This window comes from Homo sapiens, chromosome 5 (assembly GCF_000001405.40).
Source record: "Homo sapiens chromosome 5, GRCh38.p14 Primary Assembly".
In the NCBI taxonomy this organism is placed as follows: Eukaryota; Metazoa; Chordata; class Mammalia; order Primates; family Hominidae; genus Homo; species Homo sapiens.
In genome coordinates this window covers 11124473-11150296 of record NC_000005.10, presented here as the reverse complement: position 1 = coordinate 11150296, position 25824 = coordinate 11124473, and the positions used below count along the sequence as shown (strand labels likewise).

General features: G+C 42.7%; 1 protein-coding gene across 12 annotated transcripts in view, besides 2 other annotated features; it reads left to right on the top strand.

Annotated features, from left to right (window-relative positions):
* The window catches only part of CTNND2 (catenin delta 2), a 932611-nt gene that overhangs the window by 754150 nt on the left and 152637 nt on the right, over positions 1-25824 (top strand). The gene's annotated exons all lie outside the window — the stretch shown is intronic.
* Positions 6222-6281: an enhancer, noted in NCBI's record as "active region_22385". NCBI's record gives its function as "activates an Ori minimal core promoter by ATAC-STARR-seq in GM12878 lymphoblastoid cells {active_cell/tissue: GM12878}" and the evidence as "EXISTENCE:reporter gene assay evidence [ECO:0000049][PMID:35858748]".
* Positions 9204-9378: a silencer, noted in NCBI's record as "fragment chr5:11141031-11141205 (GRCh37/hg19 assembly coordinates)". NCBI's record gives its function as "represses an EF-1alpha promoter that drives an FKBP-Casp9 reporter gene in an ReSE screen in K562 erythroleukemia cells {active_cell/tissue: K562}" and the evidence as "EXISTENCE:reporter gene assay evidence [ECO:0000049][PMID:32094911]".

Below are 25824 nucleotides of genomic sequence, written 5' to 3'. Positions count from 1 at the left end.
ATGTTTGACAATCACTGCAGGAGTAGGCGGGGGCGGTGGAGGCTCAGCGGGAGGTCTGGTTCCCTGGGTTCTTTTCCATTGCCCTGTGCAGCTGTGCTATGGAAGAGTGAGAGGTGGGGTCTCTGAACACTGACTCAACAGTAGTGTGGGGGTCTCATAGGAAGCAGAGGTGCCTTTGGGGTGAGCAGAGAGAATTAGCACTTGCCTTCCTGCACAGCCCCGTGGGGCCCCTGTCTGCCTCTCTGGGATGGGATCTTCATTGTGTCACAGAAAGCCAATTGCTTATTCTGGAAACAGAATTGAGAAGCAATTGAAAGTAAAAGTCATTACTCCTTAAGTCTTGTAAGTTCTTGTTCTAAACTGACAGAAGCTTCTAGAAGTACCCACTACAAAATTTTCTAAAGCAGGGAAAAGCTAAAGGGAAGACAGCCCTGTCCAGGTTTCATGCTTGGTCAGCATGTTCTTGCCTCCAACAGGTTTAACCGAAGAAGCAATATTTAGTAATAATATGTGTGAATGGGCTGATAGCCTTCCACACTGGCTTTTTAGGACCCTGGGCTCTTCCTCTGTGTCATACACTCATTTTCAGTTTTTCAGTCTGCTACATAAAAGGACAGACCGCCAGGACTTCAGATTAGTCCTGCGTCCTTCACTGTCTTTCCGTAGAGGTACAAATACATCATCGCTCCCCATTAACAAGCAGTAAACTGGCAAGGAAGATGTTGTACCAGTGATGCACTGACTGGAGCTAATGAATCCCAACAGCTAATTACACTTCTCTTATGGTAACTTATTACCAGAAAGTAGCTGCGTTAGCACAAAGATTGTATGTGAGGATGGCCGTGCCCAGGGAGAGGCCAGCTGATGAATCATCCCCCATAATTTTCCATAATAGTCCTGTCTGGACTTCCGTGTCCAGACCATTGTTCTTCCCGGGGTTACATGTTGCCTGCCCTTATTTTGGAACAACAATGTAATTGCCAATTGTGGACTAATTTATATAAACACATGAGGGTTCTGCCAAAGGAAAGCGTCACCGTGATGGGTGCTGACTGCTCACGGAGCTATTTTGCACAAGTTAGAGTCAGGTGGTTGGAGGAAATGAAGCTTACTGCAAAAAATAATGGTTTCAGGTAAGCAAAAGCATCGTGTCCTTTTGAGGCCTGCCAGGAGGCGTGGTGTGTGGCCTGTCGCATTGCTCAGAACCTGATGGGGCTTGAAGGGCAGCGTTTCTCCTTAATGTGCACGGAAGCAGCGCTGAGTTTCTTCCTAGAACACAAAGGAACTTTACTGATTTCTCCTCTGCAGGCAGCACTGGCTACCACACATGATTAAATGTCATTTGTCCTTGACCCCTGTCACTCCTAAGCAGCTGAAATAGATTAAGAGTCAGATGAAGCAGAGCATCCTCTGCCAGCTCCTGCGGTAACAGGCTCACAAAGAAACCAATGCCAGGGCTTCTTAGGATTTCCCAGGGAGCATTCCTGTTTGAGGGGAAATCATTGAGGCAGAATAGCCTCCTGTTTCCTCCCAAGCACCCAGCCGGGATCCCCAGAGCTAACACAGAGGCCTTGGGAAGGTAGAGCTGCCTGTCTGAGCAGCTTCCCACTCCCACGGGGACAGAAGGGGACAGCAGCCCAGAAAGACAGCACCAAAGCACCATGAGGCAGGGACGCTGCTGGAGAAAGGGCTCCCCTCACTTCTCACCTCACTGGACCTGGAAGCTCCCTCCACTGTCTTTAAAACTTACTGAGCTATGAAGACTTTAATTCAGGTGAAGACAAAGGCCAAGGAGTGCCATAGACCACCAAGCCCAGATGCACCTGCCTGCAGGCAGATCGAACTAGCAGCAGAAACGAGCCCTTCCACCCGGCAACACCTTCTGTTATGACCAGATTATGACCCTCCACCTCCCAGGCATTTCCTCCCCTATCCTTTCTATCCCTTTCATTCAAACTAATTCAGAATAAATTTACATAACATCAAATTAGCCATTTAAAAGTGAACAACTCGGCAGCATTTGGTACGTTCAAAGTGTGTTGAAAATGACATCTACCTAGTTCCAAAATATTTTCATCACCCTAAAAGAAAACCCCATATTCATTAAGCAGTTACTCCCATTCTGCCTTGCCCAGGCCCTGGCAATTACCAGTCTGTGCTCTTTCTCTATGAATCTATCTCTTCTGCATATTTCATATAAATAGGATCCTACAATAGATGACTTTTATGACTGGCTTCCTTCACTTAGCATGATGTGTTCAAGGTTCATCATTGTTGTAGCATGTTTTAGAACTTCAGTCCTTTATGTGGCTGAATAATATTCCCCTGCATGGATATAGCACATTTTGTGTATCCACTTATCCATTGATGGACATGTGAGCTGTGTTCACTCTTCGGCTATTGTATTTGTTTACATACCCATTTCAATTATTTTGGGTATATACCTAGAAGCAGAATTGATGGATTGTATGGTAACTCTGTATCACTTTTTGAAAACCGCCAACTGCTTTTCACAGCTCTTCCTTTTTTTTCTGTATGTTCACCTCCATTACATTATCTGGGCCTATTCTCTTTTTCTCACATTACCTTCGTTTCATGTTGTCGCCTCATTCTGAAAAAGTTTTTTTTTTTTTTTTCAACTGCTGAATTATTATGGCCATCTGTCTTTGTATCACTCTTCTTGAGTCCTTAGGAGAAAGGCTCTACACAGATTTCACCATTTTATTTTAAGCATCTCAGAACTGGTATCAGCCCGTCTCAGCTGTGTGGACATAGCTGGCCTGGGCCTGCAAGTCTCCAGCCTCATGTGGGGCCCCTCTGCTCTTCATTCACCATGTTTGCAATACTAGCCTCTTTTCCGTTGTTCTATACGTTGAGGTCTTTTCTACCTCAGGACCTTTACATGTGACTACCAACACCTGGAGGACTTTCCACCTTTGTATCCCAACTTAAATGTCTCTTGTTGTAAGAGACACTCCTTGACACGTTCATTCCGTATATATTCGGCCTTCTCTATGGCCTTGTCAAAGCATTCTGGGCTTTTGATCCAGAACTTCTCACAATTTGGAGGGATATTCTTGCCTGTGTGCTTGGGTATTTAAGGCCCATCACTTCACAAGTGACATTCTCACGTACATGACGATCATGTCTTTGATCAGTATCAGTTTTGTCTTTCCCCAAAACAACATCTGGCACCTTGTAGATCCTGAATAAATAGCTCCTACCTGAATGACTGAGTGAATGACTGAATTGATGAATGGCCCTTCTTTTTCTGCTGTGCCAGCTGCCTAATAACTGTCCTGTACTAATCAGCACCAAGCAAGGAAACTTTTCACTCTCCTGGTTGTTCATAAAATCTTCCCAGTTGGAGAGATAACTAACTTCACATTTATCCTTCCCAGTTTCCACATGTTGAGATTAATTTCTTGGGTAGAGCCATGTAACTGCTTGTTTTCCAGTGTGTGTGTTGCTGATAATTCTGCTAAATGAAACCACCGCATCAATTTGTTTTATCAAACAGAATATATTTTCCTTTGGGTGGCCTCACTGACTTGCTTAGTACATTTTGTCCTCACGATGTGCTCATGTTGCCCTTGGTTTTTATGATTCTGAATTCCTCAACCACCTCATCTGAAGGAAGCCATTAGACTGTGCTTATCAGCACCGTTAAGAAATCAATAAATAATATCACTCTAGTGCTTTGTGGACAAGATAACTCTTTAATACCTCTAATCATCACGTAATTCTCAGGATAGCATCATAAATGATATATTATGTCTTTTTTTCCAATTTTAAATAAGAAAAAACTGAAGCTTAGAGAGGTTTAGCAGTTTACCCTGGAGCCCTTGGTAGAAAGCCACAAACCAAAATTCGAAGCTGGGCTTTCTGAATCTGGACGGAATGCTTTTCCCATGATGCTGCTGCCTTGTGGTCAGCCTGTCAGCACTGAACTCTGCAGCCAGTCTGCCCCCTCCCCTAGATAATTGGAGCAGCCGTAGCCATCTCATCCTCTCCTTGTTGGCCCAGTGTTAAATCAACAGCTTAGATAAAATGGATCACATCTCTTATTGCACACAAACATATCTTGAATTTCTAGTATGTGCCCAGGACTTTGCTAGGCACCATAGGAACAAAGATGAGGAAGTGACAGTTGTGTTTTAACAGAAGAGGAGGAAATCTGAACTGTGGTGCATCATGGGGATACTTAATGTCATTAAAACAGTCCATGGCAAACTGCCAGAGAGCTCCTGGGGATGGAACCATGGACTCCACCTGAAGAACTCTAGGAACCCACCCCAGAGTCTGTCCGGGGGAAGAAGGAGAGTTTGCCGGTGAAGGCGCAGAGAGATGCTCCAGGCCAGAAGATCCACCTGTAGGAGGAAGATGATGCATGTCTGGGGACAGACAGGTGGCTCAGTGTGGCCAGCCAGGGCGCGGTTGGTAGGGAGGGACAGAGAGGGGAAAGGCCTATTGGGAGCTGATTGTTAAGACTGTCTGTGAAGGAGCGTCATTTGGAGGAGGTGTCTTGATTTTCGTAGACTGCGTGGAACCATGGAAGTGTGATTGGAAGAGACACGGGGCTCCTCTTGCTATACAAATGCAGCCATTCCCACAGGGTGGAGAGAGGATTAGAGAGGTGGGGCAGGGACAAGGAGGAGAAGAGGGTGGAGCTGGCAGAAGGATGAGAGGACCCATGATAGCACTGGCCCCATTTGCAGATCCTAGACTCTGTCCTAGGTGTTGCTCTAGGAACCTCAGTTAGTTGCCACTGTCTTTGAGATGAGTGTGATATGGACAGGTGTAAAATCCAAGCTCAGAGGAGCAGGCATCCTCATCTGCATCTGAATAGAAACTACAGGTTGTGTAATCTTGGGCCACTGAGGTAGCCTCTCTGAGCCTCAGTTTCTCCCTCTGTAAAGAGGGATTGGCCAGTCATGTAGGGCTGGGACAGGGGGAGGCAAGGGAGGCTGAGCTGTGCAGGGCCAGATCCCACCTTTAGTTTAAATTTTTGGTAATATTTTCATCCTGTATTTTTTTGCTTTGATTTAGATGAAAAAATATTGCATTAAAATATTCTTCGGCACAACAATGTGAATGTACTTAGTCCTACTGAACGTTTAAAAATGGTTAAGATGGTAATTTTATATAATATATATTTTATTATAAAAATGTGTACGTTGTTTATCATAATTAGTAAGTTATTTCAGCACCCCCTTAAATGTTGCACCGAGGTGACAGCCTCACATCCCTCACCCATTCCTGGCCCTGCAGTCATGCACATAAATTGCTTGGCATAGGGTCTGACCAATCAGAAACGGATGGCTGCTGGCTCAAGACCACTGTCTCTGCTGAGGCAGCCATCGTGCAATTGTAATGAAAGTCTGTCTTGGGAGCTGTTGGGAACGATAAGGGGAGACTCAGGGGCTGAGCACTGGGTCGTCTTATGCATCTTGGGCATAGCATCCTACACACATCTATTTCCTTAGGAAAATGTGTCCACCAACAGGAGCTAGGAACCTCACTCCGTAAAACAACATTTGTCTCCTAGATCATCTCAGCTTGGGTGGAGGCCCTTCCTCCAGAAAAGGGGTGAGACGGCGGTCCCTTGAGAGAAATACAGCTTCTTCCCACCAACTCAAAGGATACCTGTTGTCCCCTAAGACCTCATTCTCTGCTTCCATTTCTGTGGACCAAAAGGTAGACCCCCAAGGCCTTGACATCTCCTCTGCTGGTGGTCACAGTAACCCTTACCCTGACTCACTCAGCCCTTTGTGCCCCAGGAGACAAGGAGAGCATGTGACAGATCCTCAGAGGAAGCACAGGTGAGTCCAAGTGGGGAGACCAGGCTCTGGTCGGGTAGCCTGCAGGTGGACCGGAGGCAGTGGGAGCTCAAGCCACTTCCCAAACCTTCCCGAGCTCCCCGACCCTCCGTTGCCTCCCTGATGCCTCCTTGATGCCTCCTTAAAATCCGTATTTTAGGACTGAGGGGCCCAATAAATGCACCCTTTTCTTCTCCCAAGTTTAGGACTAATTGAAAAATAAGACAATGAAAACAGACAAATGGAACTTAAATAGTCTGTTTACTGGTGACAACACTGGGCTGACAGCATGACTTTCTAACCCGCCAAGTGGCAGACTAAGGATCTGCTCATAGAAACCCCTAGCTGGTGCAGACCTGGGGACTGCCCCTATGGTAGAAACCCCTAGCTGGTGCAGACCTGGGGACTGCCCCTATGGTAGAAACCCCTAGCTGGTGCAGACCTGGGGACAAGCCCCTATGGTAGAAACCCCTAGCTGGTGTAGACCTGGGGACTGCCCCTATGGTAGGAACCCCTAGCTGGTGCAGACCTGGGGACAAGCCCCTATGGTAGAAACCCCTAGCTGGTGTAGACCTGGCGACTGCCCCTATGGAAAACCTGGGATTTGAAAAGCTGACAAACCCACCCAACATCACTGACTCCCACAGTCCCTGGTCCTGTATTATAGCTTAGCTCCAACAAGTGCAAAAATCTCAGCCAATGCCAGAGCTTCATCACCCACCAGTCAAATGATTCACTCTCCTTATTAGGGGCTGTTTTGAGTAAAATTATACCTCCCTCCAAGATTCACATTTTGCAGTCCTAACCCCAACTACTGAAGAATGTGACCTTATTTGGAAATAAGTTCATTGCTGATAAAGTTAGTTTAGATGAAGTCATTAGGATGGGCTCCAATCCAATGTGACTGATCATTACAAAAATGGGAAATTTGGACACAAAGACACACACTCCCAGGGAGAACATCCACGTGAAGATGAAGGCAGAGATCAGGGTCCTGCTCCTACAAGCCAATAGAGCATCAAAGACTGCCAGCAAACCACCAGAAGCTAAGAGAGAGGCCCAGAACGAGTTTTTTTTCACAACCCTTGGAAAGAACCAACCCTGCAGACACCTTGATCTTGAACTGTGAAACAATACATTTCTGTTGCTTAAGCCACCCAGCTTGTGGTAATGTTTTACAGCAGCTCTAGCAAACTAGTACAGGGGTGCAAGTGTATAGGAAGGGTAGGGGAAGTCATGGAGAGTTTCTAGGAAAATAAAGCTAGGAAAAGAGGTTCACCTTTCCCAGAGCTAATGGGGTATTAGCTGAATAATAGGATAGCCCTCTGTGCATGACATTAGGTGCTTTACACATATTGTTCTTATTTTCTCTTTGTTAAATGGGTTCCTCTGCCCTTTGCTCGGGCACATATGCCTGAGTGAGCAGAAGTCAAGGGGGAAGGAGGAAATAGGTCTGGCTCCTGCATGCATCACACACTGCCTCATCTAATCCTTCTAAAACATCAGCCCACTTTATAGATGAATAAACTGAGGGTATGATGTTAAGTGTGTTGCCCAAGACCAGTTGGCTAATAAAAGAGTTTAAATTTTGTAATCCCAGCACTTTGGGAGGCCGAGACGGGCGGATCACGAGGTCAGGAGATCGAGACCATCCTGGCTAACACGGTGAAACCCCGTCTCTACTAAAAATACAAAAATTAGCCGGGCATGGTGGCGCGCGCCTGTAGTCCCAGCTACACGGGAGGCTGAGGCAGGAGAATGGCGTGAACCCGGGAGGCGGAGCTTGCAGTGAGTCGAGATCGCGCCACTGCACTCCAGCCTGGGTGACAGAGCGAAACTCTGCCTCAAACAAAAAAAAAAAAAAAAAAAGAGTTTAAATTTGACACCAAACCTTTTCCAGTACCACAGCCTGTCTTATGGAAAACAAAATACTTCTATTTCTTATAAGTGAACTATAAAAATGAGGACCTGCCAAGGTAGGGGTATGGAAGTATTCCTGGTGTGTTCCTCTCACTGTTCACACCCTTCTCCCTGGCTCTTCAAGAATCCCCCTTGCATTCAACTTCACACTCTCTTGCTTGAAATTCCTTTAACATGTTTGAGATAAGAATATTATCTGATCCGTTTCTAATTTCTCTGTGGAATAGGGCTAAAGAAGAAGCAGGCACTAGGAAGCAGCTCTCTTGCTGGCTTTTAATTTTATTTGCTTTCTGTGGCTAGAGTACATTAGTATTGGCATCATTTAGTCCTTCTGTCTCCTTTTCATTTGAGCAAGTTATCATCTATTTGACAGGTGTCTTAGTCCATTTTATGCTGCTATAACAGAATACCACAGTCTGGGTAATTTATAAAGAACAGAGATTTATTTCTTACGTATCTGGAGGCTGGGAAGTACAAGGTCAGGGGGCTGGCATATGGTGAGGGCCTTCTTGCTGCATCATGGTTGAGGGCAGAAGGTGGAAGGGCAAGAGAGAGCCAGAGGGTGAGTGGAGGCCAGGCTCAGTTTTATAACAAACTCACTCTTGCAATAAGGAACCCACTCCCATAAAAATGTTAATCCATTGAGAGCCCTCAGGATCTAATCGCCTCCTCAAGTTCCCACTTCTCAACACTGTTACATTGGGATTAAGTTTCCAACACATGAATTTGGAGAACACCTTCAAACTATAGCAACAGGCAAAGAAATCAATCACAAGCAGCCATTCATATTCATCTGCAGACCAAAATTGGCCATAGATGAAGATGCAGAACCTTCAAGGGCTGTCTGCTGCCAACCTGGGCTCCTGAGTGCAGACACAGCTGGCCTAAGGCATCCATCTGTTTTCTCCTATCCCTAAACAGTTTTTTCTCCCTTTGCCAGCTTGCACGGCTGCCTGTTCTTCTCACAGCTGGCCTTCTTGCATATCCAAACTTAACCGTTCAAAGGCAATATTTATTAGATCTATAACTATTCTTAGAATAACTAAGCATCCCCAAAGGATATTTTTACTGAAGACGCCTTCCAAAGACTGGAGCCTCTAACTTTTAGCTTTGGCTCCTTTATTCACCAAGAGCCATCAGGAGGGTACTCTGGCCACATAGAAAACAGGTAAAGCCAATCACTTTAAGCATGCAATTGTCACTAATTACTCTGACCTTTTCTATTATTGTGTTCACCAACAATTTACAAAATTAAAAAAAAAAATGACGGTCTTATATGCATTTGTTTTAAAAAGTAATCAAACAGCTGGGCATGATGTCCCATGCCTGTAATCCCAGCACTTTGGGAGGCCAAGACAAAAGGATTGCTTGAGTCCAAGAGCTCAAGACCAGCCCAGGCAACATAGGGAGACCCTGTCTCTACAAAAAATAAAAAATTAGTTGGGTTCAGTGACATGCACCTGTAGTTCCAGCTACTTGGAAGTCTGAGGTCAGAGGATCGCTTGAGCCTGGGAGGTAGAGGCTGCATTGAGCCCTGATTATGCCACTGCATTCCAGCCTGGGCAACAGAATGAGACCCTGTCTCAAAAAAATAAAAATAAAAATAAAAATAATTTTTAAAGCAATCAGACAATACAAAAGGAATAAAAATAGTATTAGTAATTGTCTCTTACCTTCCAACCCAGAGCCAAACCAGTTAATTATTCTCCATATATATTTATATAAATTGTTTTTTTAATAAATCTAGAATATAACAACTTAAATACGTGTACATTTTCTCTCCAATACTATACACAGATGGCTTCTCCTATACATTGGATGAACTTTTGGTAAAGACTGTGTTTTCCCAGATCCTTCTTTCCATTGCACATCCTGAATGGCCTCAGTAACTGTTTTGTAGCTGGGGGTGAATGGGCTCTCCTTCTTCCCTCTCTTCCCATGTGTTTGACATCACAGTAGGAACTGGTAGCATTGGTAAATATAGATACAGATGTCTTCTCAATAGGTAGTTATAGAGAATCATTATTATTAGATTATTACAGGTAAGCTTGAACTTTATTAGCATACATAGTGTTTGAAAACAACTTTAGCCCTTGGCTTGCAAAAACAATCGTTTGAATGTAATCAGATAGCATTGCATTCCAATTAATCAATAGAAGACCAATAAATTGACCAGATAATGTTTTTACCTGTTTTTCCTTTTGAGATAAAATTATTAAAAGAAGAGCCTAGGAGTACTTTGAGGACAGTCTTGTGAATACACTTCCTGAACCTGTTCCTTTGCCCTGGACAGGTTGAAGGAGGCAGGAGATTGTCATGTTTTCTTTGGGTACCAATGTATGCCCAACTGTAATGAAAAAATAGTCTGACCTTCAGTGGTAGGCCAGACCCCCAATGATGTCCCTGTGCTAATCACCAAAAACCTGTGAAGACCTTAAATTACATGGCAAGGGAAAATTAAGGTTGCAGATGGAATTAAGGTTGCTAACACCTGACCTTAAAATAGGGCGATTATGCTGGATTATTTGCGTGGATCCCTATAATCTCAAGGATTCTTACATGTGAAAGAGGGAGGCAGAAGAGTATCAGAGTGATACCACATAAGAAAGTCTCCCCTGGCTCTGAAGACAGAGGAAGCAGCCATGAGCCAAGATGTGCATGTAGAAGCTGGGAAAGGCAGGGAAACATTCTCCCCTGGAGCCCCCAGAAGGAACACAGCCAACACCTTGATTTCAGCCTGTGGGCCCATTGCTGACTTCTGTTCTCCAGATGTATAAGAATAAATCGGCAGTTTATGCCCCTAAGTTTGTGTTAATTTGTTACAGCAGCAGGAGGAACCTAGCAGATGCCTTCAGGCAGCTGTTGCATTCCTGTGGAGCACCAGGAAGCCACACAGCCAGGCAGGTCGCAAGCACTCAGCACTCAGGGAGCAGAGCTGCACGAGCAGCTGGCCAGCAGGACACGAGGTCTAGCAGCAAACAGAGAGAAAATGGGATTTGTTTTTCTTTCTCCCTTTCAACCCAGGCTCTTCTATCATCCAAGATTCCATAAACATCACACCCATGATGATGCAGTGGTTACCCCAGGGAGGTGAGCAAAGATTCAAGTAAGACAGGGATTCATCAGCTGGTCCCGTTCTAGGTGTGAGAAAACAAATGTGAAATGAAATCCAGCCACTGTCAGCGTGCTTTCACACAGTCCTGAACTCTAACACGCAGTATGCTGGGATGCAGACAGGCTTCTTGGGTAACAAGATGCTTTCTCCCTCTTTTGGTTTCCAGATCAAAAATGGTTTCTGGCCGGGTGTGGTCGCTCATGCCTGTAATCCCAGCACTTTGGGAGGCCGAGGTGAGTGGATCACTTGAGGCCAGGAGTTTGAGACCAGCCTGGGCAACATAGCAAAACACTGTCTCTAGTAAAAATACAAAAATTAGCCTGGCATGGTGGTGTGCAGCTGTAATCCCAGCTACTCAGGAGGCTGAAGCATGGGAATCACTTGAATCCCGGAGGCAGAGGTTGCATTGAGCCAAGATCGTGCCATTTTACTCCAGCCTCAGAAAAGAAAAAAAAAAAAAAGTTTCCTTTTACTCTGTGACTCCTCTGAAGACAGGGAAAGAATACTCAGTGCCAGCTTCTTGGGGAGATGATTCCAATGCTTTAGTTCTGCATGGACATGCAGGAAGGAACCTCCTCATGACTAATCAATGCAGCAGTACCACTTCATTCACTCCCCACTGGAGATATGTATGGAGCAGAGCTCTCATGACCTAAATTATAAGCCAAGACACCAACCTTGGTCCTGTTGTGTAGCTCCTAGCAAAGCTAACTTTTCTAGAAAAAATAATTAATCAGTAACTACAAATAGAACAGAATCTGGACCACCCATTAAATCTGTGTGATGTAACAAGGTTTAGAATATTGAGCCGAACTCACACCAATCACAGACCCGACAAGGTATCAAGCTTTTCTAATAATATCAGAGACACAGGTAACCACAGGGCACAGGTTGGGCAGGGAGAGGATGGCACCACCAGTGCCACTACCAGGTCCTTCCTGCTGTGTCAGGACACGCACTGACCCAGTTTAACACGTGTCCTCGCAGAATGGTGTGCATTTACAACACTTACAAATAGGGAGCCTGGGATTGACAGAATAGTGGCCCCCAAAGATGTCTACATCCTAATCCCAGCAACCTGAGACTGTTACCTGGCAAAAGACACTTTGCAGACGTGAATAGGGTTAAGAACCATGAGAAGGGGAGATTGTTGTGATTTTCCCAGTGGGCCCAGTCTAATCACATGAGCCCTTAAAAGCAGAGAATGTTCTCTGGCTGGAGTCAGGGAGATGCAGCAGAATGAGAGATCACGGCTGGCTTTGAGGATGGAGAAAGGAGGCCACACGCCAAGAAATACACACAGTTGCTAGAAGCTGGGAAAGATCCTCAGCTGACAACCAGTCAGGAAACAGGACTTCAGTCCTACAACCATAACAAACTAAATTCTGCAAGTAAGCTGAATAAGCAAGGAAACAGATTTTCCCCTAGCACCTCCAAAAAGTAATGCAGCCCTGCTGATACCTTGATGTTAGCTCTGGAGACCCATACTGGACTTTCAACCTGTAATAAGAGAGAACTGTAAGGTAATAAATTTATGTTACTTTAGTCTGGTAAATTAGAGGTAACTTGTGGCAGTAGCAAAAAGCTAATACAGGGTCATTTTGGTCATTAAATACCTCTAATTTCATATCCAGATGGATACCTAACTTAAATATTTCCCATGAGCACTCCTAGACATCAGGAATATTCTGAAGAAAACATTCCATAAATAAGGATTTGCCTGCTAGTAAACATTATTGTTTTGTTTGCTAGGAGGTCTGTGTTTTGCATGTTTGCAAGAAGACCTGGCAGTCATCAGTCACCTGCTTTCTTTTCCAAAAGCATTCTTCCTCCCTACACCCAAGTTAGACCTGCTGCTAGTTGTCTTCTTCCCAAGTTATTTTGTAAGAGCTTATCTACAACTACATGGAAATAGTAAACCAAGGCTTAGAGTATTACCCTATTAAGTTTATGAGGATTAACCTTGTTCTTGAATATAACAAGCAAGGAAAAAACAAGGAAATTCCTGGACACGTTGGGGTGTATGTACTATTTATAGTATTTTCCAAATCATAATTTGCTCTAGACGACTAGATACAGCTTCTTGACTAAACTGGCATGAAAAAAATCAAATTTCCGGACTCTGAATAGGAAAATTAATAAAATTCCTGCCTTTAGATCAACATGCTCCCAATAAAATTGGGATGTCTTATATTAATAAATAAGAAATGAACTAATGAATGGATTAATTCCTCATATGGCTTTTCTGTCATTCAGCTCCTCCAGACCAATCTGGAATAAGTATGTTATTTATGGAATTGGATTAGAGATACAATAGTATGTCTTTTCAATTCAACAACTATTTATTGAGTGCCTACTTGATGCCAGACACTGTACTAGCTGCTGGTGATATATGAGTGACAAGAAAGGCACAGGCCCTATTTTCATGGGCTTTGCAGGAAGGAGGCAGTAAGCAGGTAACATCAGTGGGGTGGGAATTGTGAAAGAGAGCCTTGAATGAACATAGAACCAATGAATTTAGCCTGGTCAGGGGATCAGGGAAAGCCCTCCTAAGGAAAAGACTTGAATGATGAGTAGGAGTTAGAAGAGGAGAGAGTATTCAGGCATGTGCCTTTGAGTTTTACTCAGTGAAATGACCCTGGACTGGAGGACTTGTGCTTCGATATATATTTTTGAAGAATCCCTGCAGCTGCTACATGAGACTTCCCTAGAAGGTAGAGAAGATGAGGACAGAAGCAGAGAGAACATATAAGAGATACATGGTGGCCTTAGAGAACAATTCTGGAAATGCTTTGAAGTTAGAGCTGACTTGATATGCTGCCTGATTGAATGTAGGTGTGTGGGAAAGAGGAGAGTCAGAGATGAGTGACACACATATCTATTCCACAAGCGTAGCACTGCTGGTGCATAACAACATAAGCATTAAGAAAACCCTCAAAATAGGCCCCAGTTAGCACCATTGTTCTTTTTCCCCATTTCATTTTTATCTCCTTTTTTCATTCTTGCCTTTTTCATTTTATCTTCTTTCGTGTCTCTTGATCACTGTGGCAACAAATATACTTTATAAAGTCCTTTTTCACTCTTATTATTTCTATTTTATTCATCACTAATTTAATTCATGACCTCTAAGATGAAGAAAATTCAGAACTAAAAAACAAACAAAAAACAAGCTAAAAAGGCTGGCAGTCTCTGTTCAGTCTACTGTAACAAAACAGCTTAGACCAGGTAATTCACAAACAACAGAAATGTATTTCTGACAGTTCTAGAGGCTGGGAAGTCCAAGATCAAGGCATCAGCGGCTTCAAGATCTGCTGAGGGCTGCTTTCTGCTTCACAGATAATACCTTCCTGCATCCTCAGATGGTGGAAGAGGCTAACAGACTCCCTCAGGCATCTTTTATAAGGCCACTCATCCTATTCATGAGTGTCTCACTTAATACCATCACCTTGGGGGTTAGGTTTCAACATATAAATTTTAGGAGGGACACAGATATTCAGATGATAGCAGTAGCCAATGCTAATTTAGAAGTGGATATCTCCACCTACCACCATGATATGAACCAGATGGAGAGCAAGGGCAAAGTTGTGGCTAGCTTGTTTGCAACTTCATGTAACCCACAGCCCACTGCATCTCGCTGCATGGTAAGGGGCCAGTGCATGTAGGAGAGTGTCAGTCATGGGCACACTATCTTTGAGGTGTGTCCATGTGGAAAATAAAGATGGGAAACCACTACTCAGAGACTTCAGCGATCCTAATTTTCTTTGGAGTTGGAATCACCTAACACTATGTATTTGATTTTCAGCATAGTCTGTAAAAATATTCCATGATGAGTATTTGTGATTCAAATTAAAATAATACAGTGTATGTCTTAGAGAATTTTAGCAAATTATTGGATTAAATGAAGTCATTCAATCACTGAATCTACCGATGTACATTTGTGTGATATAGAAGGATCCTCTCTCTGCATGTGTTTTGTCAAAAGTTGAATCCACTGTTTCTTCTGTAACTTTTTTCTTTACTAATTGACAGATCTCTAAAACCTTTTCATTTCAGCACATATAAAATGATGGATAATAAGAGTAATTATATTAAGATGAACTTTAGAAAAACCTTGAGTTTCTAGATTCTGTTTTCTAGATTATTTCTATGGAGTACTGTTGCCTTGACATTTTCCCCCATGAAGTCATTATATATAGTTTGTGCCAGAGTTCTAAGAACCATTATTATTTACGAAAAGCAGTAAAACCTGAATGACAAATGTGCCCTGGGCTGATGGTGGAGGGCACGAGCCTTCTCTTTTGTTTTCTAGTTATTCCCAGGGTGGCCACCAAGCTGGTTAAGTGCACAATTTTTAAATCAGACCTTAACACTTGCTCAAAAGACTGACACATGTACTGTAAAAGATTAAAAGTCCTTTGATTGCAGCACTTAGCGCAGTGAAGATAGACAATGGAACTAAACTCTTCATGGCCAACTTGTGACCTGTTTTTAATGATGCTCTGTGGCTCCTCAAAGTGTCATTGCTATTTGACCTTTCTGTGCAGCTTTATAATTCTTGGATTTTTGAAGCATTACTCCTTTCACAACTGAAGCAGTAAAAGGAAATTGTGCACCCAGTGGTGCCATTATCCTACACTCATATTGTGTGCAAGCCATCTGGTAGTAGTAAAGCAAGAAAAGTCATTCTTAGGTGCTACCTAGAGTTGGTGAGAAACTCATTTAGCTTACTGTTCTTCCTGCAACAAGAGACATCTAAAAATCTTAATGACTACATCTCGTCTTGTCATTCAGAGCCTGTGAAATGCCCCCATCTGAAGAAACGATGTTTATCTAAAACTTTTGAAATACGTTAGCAGAAATGTTAAAATGAACATTTGTGAAAATTACTATGGTGGGTTTCCTTTTGTTTTATCTTATGTGAATATAGTAGTTTTCCATTGCTACCATAACAAATTACCACAAACGTAATGGCTGAGAACATTACTAATTGATTACTGCAGAGTCCTGCACTCTAGAAATGCAGGGGTCTTGGCTGGTTTCTCTGTTTGGAGCCTCTCGAGTCTGAAATCAAGGCATTGGCCATTGGGCTCTTTTTGCACAGAAGAGCCTGTATCCAGGATCGTTCAGGTTGCTGGCTAAATTCAGACCCATGAAGTAGACTAAGGGCTGCATTTCCTTGTGGGGTGTCAGCCAGGAGTTGTTCTCAGATTCTAGAGGGCATGATATTCCTTGGCTCATTGCTCCCTTCCTTCATCCTTAAAGCCACCTGAGTAGCCCCACTACCTCTATCTTTCCCCCTTTCTCCTGCTCCCTCCTCAGCCACATCTCTCAGTCTGACCCTTGTGCCTTCCTCTTCTGATTTGAAGAGTTCCTGTGATTACACTGAGCCCAGCAGGATAATCCAGGATCATTTCCCTATCCTAAGGTCAGCTGATTAGCAACCTTGATTCCACCTGCAAAGCCCCTTCCCCAGTTAGTATTTGGTTGAGCGACCAAAGGGTAGGAATCTTGGAGAGATGTCTTTAGAATTCTCCCTACCACAGTGAAGGGGAAAAGTGCAATCATGACAATAATGGAAGCAGACAGACTATATCGGTACTATGGCAGCCTTGCTTTTAAAATGCAGAATCTTCGAGCTGCCCTGTTAACGCATTTTCCAACATTATTCCTAACTAGTGATTAAGACCTGTGCATAAACTTGCAAGACCTCATTGGTACTTCTCTTTACAGAAATAACTCCTGCTTTCTTTTAATAAGCCTTCCAGAAATTTCTTTCAGAAATTTAAGAATAGGCCAGGCGTGGTGGCTCATGCCTGTAATCCCAACACTTTGGGAGGCCAAGGCAGGTGAATCACCTGAGGCCAGGAATTCGGAACCAGCCTGACCAACATGGAGAAACCTTATCACTACTAAGAATACAAAATTAGCCAGGCGTGGTGGTGCATGCCTGTAATCCCAGCTGCTTGGGAGGCTGAGGTTGGAGAATTGCTTGAACCCGCGAGGCAGAGGTTGCAGTGAGCCAAGATCGCATCATTGCACTCCAGCCTGGGCAACAAGAGTGAAACTGCGTCTCAAAAAAAAGAAAAAGAAAAAAGAAATTTAAGAATATATTTTAGTAATTAAGATTAAATTACTAGTTACTGGGAGAAGACAGTAAGGTGCATAATAATTTAAACAGCAAGACTGTGCTAATATTTCCCTTTCAGGAAAAAAAAAGGCTAAATAATCTTAAGTTTTACTGTTTTCTGTATATTTTTTCTTATATGAAATATATATGTGTTCTTATAATCTTTCTTATCCCCATCTCCCATTACCTCCATATGCGATATTTTCATTCTGAAACAAGGCGAGTGGTCCTTAGACTTCTTGGCAGTCTTAAGTAACCATTAGCCAAAAACATGGTTTGTCTGTTTTTAATACAGTATTCACCTAGCTAGAGCTATACAGTAATCTCTGGCCGAGTTAACTGGAGTCCGGATTTTCTAACATTTGTCTTGTTCTTTGCCTCAAGTAAAAAACTACTAAATAAGTTGTCAAAACTTCTCAGTTTATGAGATAGCAGTTAGCAGAGATGGGTAAATTTCTAAGAGGTTATAGGAAGGGTGGGTTTTATTTTCAATCACTTCCTTCCAATTTAAACTTATGGGGATTAAGCTATTTTGATCCAAGGAATGTTTTGATCCAAGAGCTCTTGGAGTCTCCTTTTCTATTAGCATTTTTGCCACAAATTAAGGAGTTGGTTTCCAGGGAAAATATGTAAGAAGACTGTCTTAGTCAGTCTGGCCTGCCATAGTGAAATACGAGAGACAAGATAGCTTACAAACAGCAGAAATGTATTTCTCACATTCTGGGAGCTGGAAGTCTAAGATCAGGGTGCCTTCACGGTTGGGTTCTAGTGAGGACTCTCTCCTGGGTTGCAGACAGCCAACTCCTGTGTCTTCACACAGCGGAAAGAGGGCAAAGAGTCTCGGAGTCCCCTTTTATAAGGGCATTGATTTCATTCAAGAAGGTTCTCATCCTTATGACCTAATCATCTCCCAAAGTCCTCAGTAACACTGTGACATGGGGGTTAGAATCTCAAAATATGATTTGTTGGAGGACACAAACATTCAGTCTATAACAAAGACCATAAAAAGCAGAGAGGGCCGGATACCCGCAGGTGGTAGGCCTGGACCCCACAGAATAACAGCGGCTTCTGCCCTTTCTTCCCTACTGAGTGACTCCCTCTTCTAAGTACTTAGCCCCCCAGTGAGCAGTCAGCTTACAGAAATACTGGGGTGACTCCCCACAATAAAACAATATTTTAGAGGGGCTGGAGAATTGCACAAAACAAAGGGTTAAGACCCAAGAGTATGTGAGAGTATATGCAGTTCTTTGCCTCTTTCAGTTTTTTGATGATGGTTATTGGTATTCAGTAAGCTATCAGTCAGTGATCAAAGCAATCACAAAAACAAGAAATAGACCTCAAGGAAAACTTTACCATCTAGATAAGTGAGCTTTTAAAAATCACATTTATTCTCAGCTTTAATAAGTCTTTGAAGTACGATTTGTTAAAATATCCTGCAAGTAAATAAATTAAAAGATTACATGACTGCATATGTGGAATTAGGGGATGAATTGAAATGAAAGTTGGAAGTTTTTTGTTTTTTTTTTTGAGACGCAGTCTCGCTCTATCGCCCAGGCTGGAGTGCAATGGTGCCATCTCAGCTCACTGCAAGCTCCGCCTCCCGGGTTCATGCCATTCTCCTGCCTCAGCCTCCCGAGTAGCTGGGACTACAGGCGCCCGCCACCACGCCTGGCTAATTTTTTTTATTTTTTTAGTAGAGACGGGATTTCACCATGTTAGCCAGGATGGTCTCGATCTCCTGACCTCGTTATCCGCCAGCCTTGGCCTCCCAAAGTGCTGGGATTGCAGGCGTGAGCCACTGTGCCCAGCCGGAAAGGCTGTTTTAATAATAGCTGTTAATAATCCAGAACATAATGCCAGATCTTGAAAATCTTAACGCCCACAGTCTGACATTTAAAAGCCAGGTAGCCAATAATCTATAAACCCTTATTAGTCAAGTTCTGTTCCCCTACTTCTTAGAAGATAGGGGACTCAAAATGCAAGGAATTGGATCACATTGGTATTGCTCATTATTTATTTAGTCACATGGTATTTATTTTCCTGGAAGCCAACTGCTTGGTGAAGTGAATATTGCATCTCTCTTCTGCAATGTTTCCTAGCATATTCATTTATTATATACATTTTAAGGCTTAGGTTCTGTGACTTGTCATATAAATCACACCTGGTTGAGCAGAAATAATTTTGTTTAACAAAGAAAGAAGAAAACAACTAGCTAGTATTCATTTTTTAATCTAATTTGTGTTTTGACCCATGACATTTTCTTTTCGCTGTGTTTGTAACTTTGTAACTGGCCATGGCTGGCAAATCATTTAGCAAGCATGGTAATGCTTGCTGCAGTGGCGTGTGGTGGGTGGACTTAACAGAGGTCCTCTTGATGGGAAGTCAAGGTGCCAGAATTAAGGTTAGATATGGGCGGCTTTCAATATATAGTACACCCTGATTTTCTGAGCCTACCATGAATGTGCCAGAGTAAAACATTGTGGGAGTTGGTAGAATACAGGGAGGGCGGGCACTGACCCGGGGGATGGACCATATGGCGTTACTCCAAGCTTGAGACGTCGTCCGGTCATGAAAAAATCAATGCCTAGTGAGTACAGCTCATTCCCCAAGTACTGCAAGTTAGGAAAGAACAACTGTGAGCGGCACGTGAGTGTTTGTGGAGCACAAAGGGCCACCCGCACAATTAGGCTCACAGTTAATGGTTTTAGCCACACAGCATCCACACCTTTCTTCCCTCTGATTTCCTTGTAATTTAGCCCAATGGGAAACTTTCAGCAGACATTTCATAGAGCAGTTAACTCTGTGGCGACCATCAGTTTTAATTGGAATCATGTAGCTAAAACCCTAGGTAGTACTTGACAGCAAGAGGGTGTCTTTTAATTCAGGTATTTCTGGTTCCGCTCTGGGCTTCTCTGGAACAATGTTCCCTGATGCATGGCTAACTCCAGAAGGCACGGATCCAGGCAGTCTTAAAACGGTGCAGTGTTTAATCGTCATCAAAAGAGGGGCCCTCCGTCCCTTTCTGATGGCTTACGTTTATGGGTGGATGGGGGGGGTGTGGTATGAACCTAGCAACCACCGCTTTGGGCACAGAACAACAGTGGTGTTCGCGGCCAGCCCCAATAGGTAGTTGGTCTTTAGCCACTGAAGCATTCTGTCTCTGCAGCTCAGCAAAGCAATTACCAAGCCATCATTGTCCTGATTTATAAAGAAATTGCCTTCCTTGGGAGAAGACAGTAAGGTGCATAGTAATTCGAACAGCAAGACTGTGCTAATCTTTAAAAAAAAATTAGGGAAACTTGTTTTTTTGGGAATTATTCTGACTTGGCTGTGATAAGAGACCAGCTTTCAAAACACATATGGAGAGAGAGAAGTCAAGAGCTTTTCAAGTAAATTTAACCTTACATTATTTGCAACCAATAAAAGTTTATGGAGGTGTGGCTAATCCTAATGCGGGTAATACTGCCTGGTACTTATGGTTGGTGCTTCACATAATGTTATGGGAATTCATTTAAAATAACGAGGCTGCACTGCAGACTTCACTTAAGCAGGGCTAGGAAGCTGCCTCATTTCTCTCTCTTATAATCCAGTGTACTCATGTCCTAGACAGATACAGAATGCCAACTGTAGCACTATTGGTTCTCTGCAAGCTCTGAAAACTCCAGTTTTCAGGGGACTTTTCTGGCAGAAGTGGAAGATACCAACCAGGCAAAAGAGCAGTCTGGACCAAGCTGATGGCTGCAAATTTGGTGGCATTCTTGTAGCTGATGAGATCAGAGATAGGGCAGAATATATTGAAGCACGTAGTTCAGCCTCAGAAAGTGCGTCATCCCAACATCACATCAGTGTTGCTCATGCAGAGGGCCTTGGCATGCCCTGAGTCCCATCGAACAGTGGCCTGGCCTCACGGCATTGAGAGCAGGTATTTTCTATGCCACCACCTCACGCCCTTCCACATGCTCCGAGGAAGAATTTTGATGCATATATATATATTATATATATTTATATATATAATATATATTATATATTTTTATATAATATATATTTATATATTTATATTTTTATATAATATATAATATATAATATATATTTATATATAATATATAAATATATAATATATATTATATATTATATATAAAATATATAATATATAATATATGTATATTTTATATATAATATATATAAATATATATTATATATAATATATATATTTTATTTATATATAATATATATATTTTATTTATATATAAAATATATATTTTATTTATATATAATATATATTTATATTTTTTATTTATATATAATATATATTTATATATTATATATTATATATATTTATATATTATATATTATATATATTTATATATTATATATAATATATATATTTATGTATTATATATTATATATATTTATATATGTAATATATATTTATGTATTATATATTTATATATTATATATATTATATATATTATATACTTAATATAATATATAATATATATTATATATATTGTATATATATAATATATATTTATATATTTTATATATAATATATATATTTATATATAATATATATAAATATATATATTATATATATGGCATTTTGGTCTTGAGCAAAGCAATCCAGTTGTTTGATTATCTAGAAAACTCTTCTTGAAACTTGCATGTGCCCACTGCAGGCTGAGCAGTTTTCCTGGGAGGGAATGGGACATGAGGCATCGGAGACGGTGCTGAGAAGAATCCGTTTACCCTGGAGCAAAACGAGCTGCAGCCTCCCTGTGAGTTTCCTCTTGCTGCTGTAACAAATTGCCACAAATTCCATGACTTAAAAAAACAAAATACATTAGCCCACAGCTTCTCTGGGCCAGAACTTCAGACACTGGACTCACTGGTTTAAAATCAAGGTGCTGGTGGGATCGTTCTCCTTACTAGCAGCTCTGGGGAAGAATCCAAGCTACTGCAGGTTGTTAGCAGAACCTTGTTCCTTATGGCCATGAGACTGAGGTCTCCACTTGCTTGGTGGTGGCCAGTTGAGAGCTGCCCTCAGCTCCTGCACTCCTAATGGCCTCTCCCTCCCCTTTGCCTGTGGCTACCCCATATGTTGAAGCTAGCAGCTGGGAGCTGAACCTTTACTCTTGGGATCTCTGCCATCCCTTCTGCTGCACCTCTCTGACTCCAGCCAGGGAAAGCAGAGAATAAAATAGGGAGATTTTCCAGGGACAAAATAGGGAAAGTCTCCCTATTTTAAACATTGTAACCTTAATTCCATCTGCAACGTCTTTTTTTTTTCTTTTTTCCATATAAAGTAACCTGTTCACAGACTCCAAGAATTAAGTTATAGACCTCTTGGAGGGGCTGTTCTCTGGCCTACCACAGTCCACCCTCTGGCCTCCAAAGAGTCACATTCATGCCACATACTTTCATTCCATCCACAGTCCCCAAAGGTTTCATCCCATTACAGCATCATCTCAAAGTCTTAAATCTCTTCAGCTCAAAAGTCCAAAATCTGAATCATCCAAATCCGAGCTGGATGAGTAATCTGTTAAGTACAGCTCCTGGGGAAGAACTTCTCTCCGTCTGTGAACCTGTGAAAATAAGGAAGCAACATATCTGCTCCCAACATGCAGTGATGGGACGACATAGTAACAATTATAGACACTCCAGTTCTAAAAGGGGGAATTGAAAATAAAATGGAGTTGCTGCTCCAAAGCAGCCTGGAAACCCAGCCCAGCCAATGCCATTGGGTTTCCAGGCCAGAGCTTATCGAACGTCAGCCTCAGCTTTGCCCTCCGGGTCAGATGTCAGAAAAAGATGACAGTGGAAATGCCTCTTGTAAGGGACTTGAATGCATCAGGCTGGTGGGGGAAGAAGCCCTGCTTCAGTCCACTTTTGAGTATCGTGCAAACGTCACACATTTCCACCTGCACAGAACGACAAGGACAGAACTGCATTTCCACCTGCCGTGGAACTACAAGAGGCAGGAGTGGTACCTCTGGTGAGGGATGGCCCAGGATTTGCAGCAATCCACCTGGGCTGTCCTGTGGCCAGATCTCAGGAAGCACTTAGCACAGAGAATGTGGTTGAGTAAAAGGCCATTAACAAGATTTGCCCTTGGTCCACCATGAGCCAGCCACAGTTTTAGTAGACATATTGCACTGGCTGAGGATGCCAGGCTTAGTAAAAATGGAGAATTATATGCCAAAATTAACATTTGCCACAGAATGCCATGGCTCCCTGCCAGGTCCTGTCCTTGGTTGGAGCCTGCAGACCCCACCCCTGCACGGATGTGCGTGGATGGTATTTGCACAGGCTGTTCACCTGGAACTTAGCCCAAACCTGTGCCTGTACTTTAAGCCTTGCCCTTTGCATCTAAAAGTACGCATTTTTAATACTTTCCATTTACATTGCATGAGCTGCTTTTTTGCTGGAAACATGTTTATTATGTTCCGTGTCCTTATTTTTTAAGTTACCACCCATGACTTGCTGCTGTAAGTGTGAAGGAAAATAACTGATATCTACATTTACAGAATTACAACTTAAGGAAATATTTTACTAAAACAGATGAAGAGTAAAATTTTCATCCATTTCAGCCTATATTTGTTTTCTGTTGTATATCTAGATGTCACTTCCAAAGAAGATGGGTTCCCAAATTCTTCACACTGCTAGTTACATACTGATGATATCGTGGTTACTCACATCAAATATAATGTCTGTTTACCTTGCTGGACGGTGACCTTCTAAAGGTCACAAGCCAGGTACTCTCATCAGTTTATCCCAGGACTTAGCATTGCGTATGGAAGAAAGCAGGCACCCAGTCAAGGTTGGCTGCTTTGTTGATTTGAAATTATTTATCTCTGCTATTTTATCTTCCTAGAATGATTCCTCTAAAGCCCATATCTCCTCCAAAATTGAACCAAACATTACATAATACAGTAAAAAATTAGAAATAATCTGGATATTCATTAACAGGGTATTAATTTAAAAAATTATGAATTGTGATCTATTTTCTTTTTTTTTGAGACAGAGTTTCACTCTTGTTGCCCAGGCTGGAGTGCAATGGCGTGATCTCAGCTCACCGCAACCTCCGCATCCCGGGTTCAAGCAATTCTCCTGCCTCAGCCTCCCAAGTAGCTGGGATTGCAGGCATGTGCCACCACGCCCAGCTAATTTTGTATTTTTAGTAGAGACAGGGATTCTCCATGTTGGTCAGGCTGGTCTCGAACTCCCGACCTCAGGTGATCCGCCTGCCTCGGCCTCCCAAAGTGCTGGGATTATAGGTGTGAGCCACTGTGCCCAGCCGATCTATTTATACCATGAGATACCAAAAGTCATTCAATAACTGTAGCTACCATCATGAACAGAGACAGAGATAAACTTTTGAGGGGTAAAAGCCAGTTGCCTGAGGAATTGTTATGGTAAAAAACAGAATCTTACCTACATGGTTCATTAATACGAGTGGAAAATAATCTTGAATGATAAACACCAAATGGTCACAGTGATTTCCTTAAGGGAAAGCGAAGAGTGTGGACATCACTTTTAGTTCTACATTTCCCCCGCTGTCTTAATATTTTTACATTAGTTTTTGATTTTTAAAAAATAAATGACTAAAATTGCCAATGCTACTGTGAAACCTTCTGTTCTTTCCTCTCACACATTTGCGGGAGACACTTTTCCTGTGGGGTGCTGGTAACCCGCCTGGCATGTTTCTCCCCTCTGGGCTGGGAGGTCTCTGGTGGAGCAGCTGCTCAGCTAACGTTTACTGAGAAGAAACCAGCCCGGCGCTGAGCAGCTGCCCTGTGTCACTGCAGATCCCCTGTGATGTCCACACCATTCCCAGCAGCACCTCCCGGATGAGGAGGCCAAAGCAAAGAAAGCGCCTTCACAGCTAAGTAGCGCAGCTATGTGCACCGCAGCAGGTACAGGAGAAGCCACTTTTGTGAACATTTTGAATAATAAGGAAGCCAGCCACTCCCTTTTTTCAAAGAAGCTACAAATCAAAGGGATGAGCCCTCGTGGAAGAATGAAGGGGATGGACAGACTTGGAGGGTCTCATGCTGCCCCCCTAGCCCTGCAACCTCTGCACCTAGAGAGAGAGGCTGTGGCTGGATTACTGTCACTCCAGTAAAGGCCAGGTGGAGTCAGCAGACCCAGTGGCTGGGCGAAGACACCCCTTCCTTCCCCACCCCTGGGCACTCAACAAAGAGGACAATCTTCCTGCACGGAAGAAAAGGATGGGCTTTTTGGACAATGATTTTGGAAACCACAGACAAAGTTTCCCAAGGCCTTGTGGGAGGACACAAGGCAGAGCTGCCGTTTCCCCGAGGAGGCAAATACATTTGATTCCTGAAACCCAGACTCTAGATTTAGGAGAGCAGCGTGCTGCTCCAAGCAGGGGCTGCTCAAACCACTTATTTTGGTGAGATGTTTTTAGACAGTTTAGGATCCCAGCCTCAGAATATGCTGAAAGTTCTGTACCTCTAGCACAGAAAATAAAAACAAAAAACCATGCATAACGTGCATATAAAAATATACAAAACTTGGAACAAAATATCAGGAGTTCACAGACACCCTCCTGAATCCTATATCTGAGCTTCAGATGAGAATCTCGGTCAGGGGTTGATCGTGCCAGTGACCCGTTTCTGTATGGCTTCAAGTAAGAACAGGTTTTACATTTTTTAAAAGGTTGTTGAAAGAAGGAGAAAGAGGAGGAGAGAAGAAAAAGTGGCAGAAACCCTGTGTGGCCCGCAAAGCCTGAAATATTTATTCTCTGATCCTTTACAGAGAGTTTTTAACTCCTGATCTAGGTGTTCACGGATAGAAGATCTCTTTAAAATTTAATGTTTTTG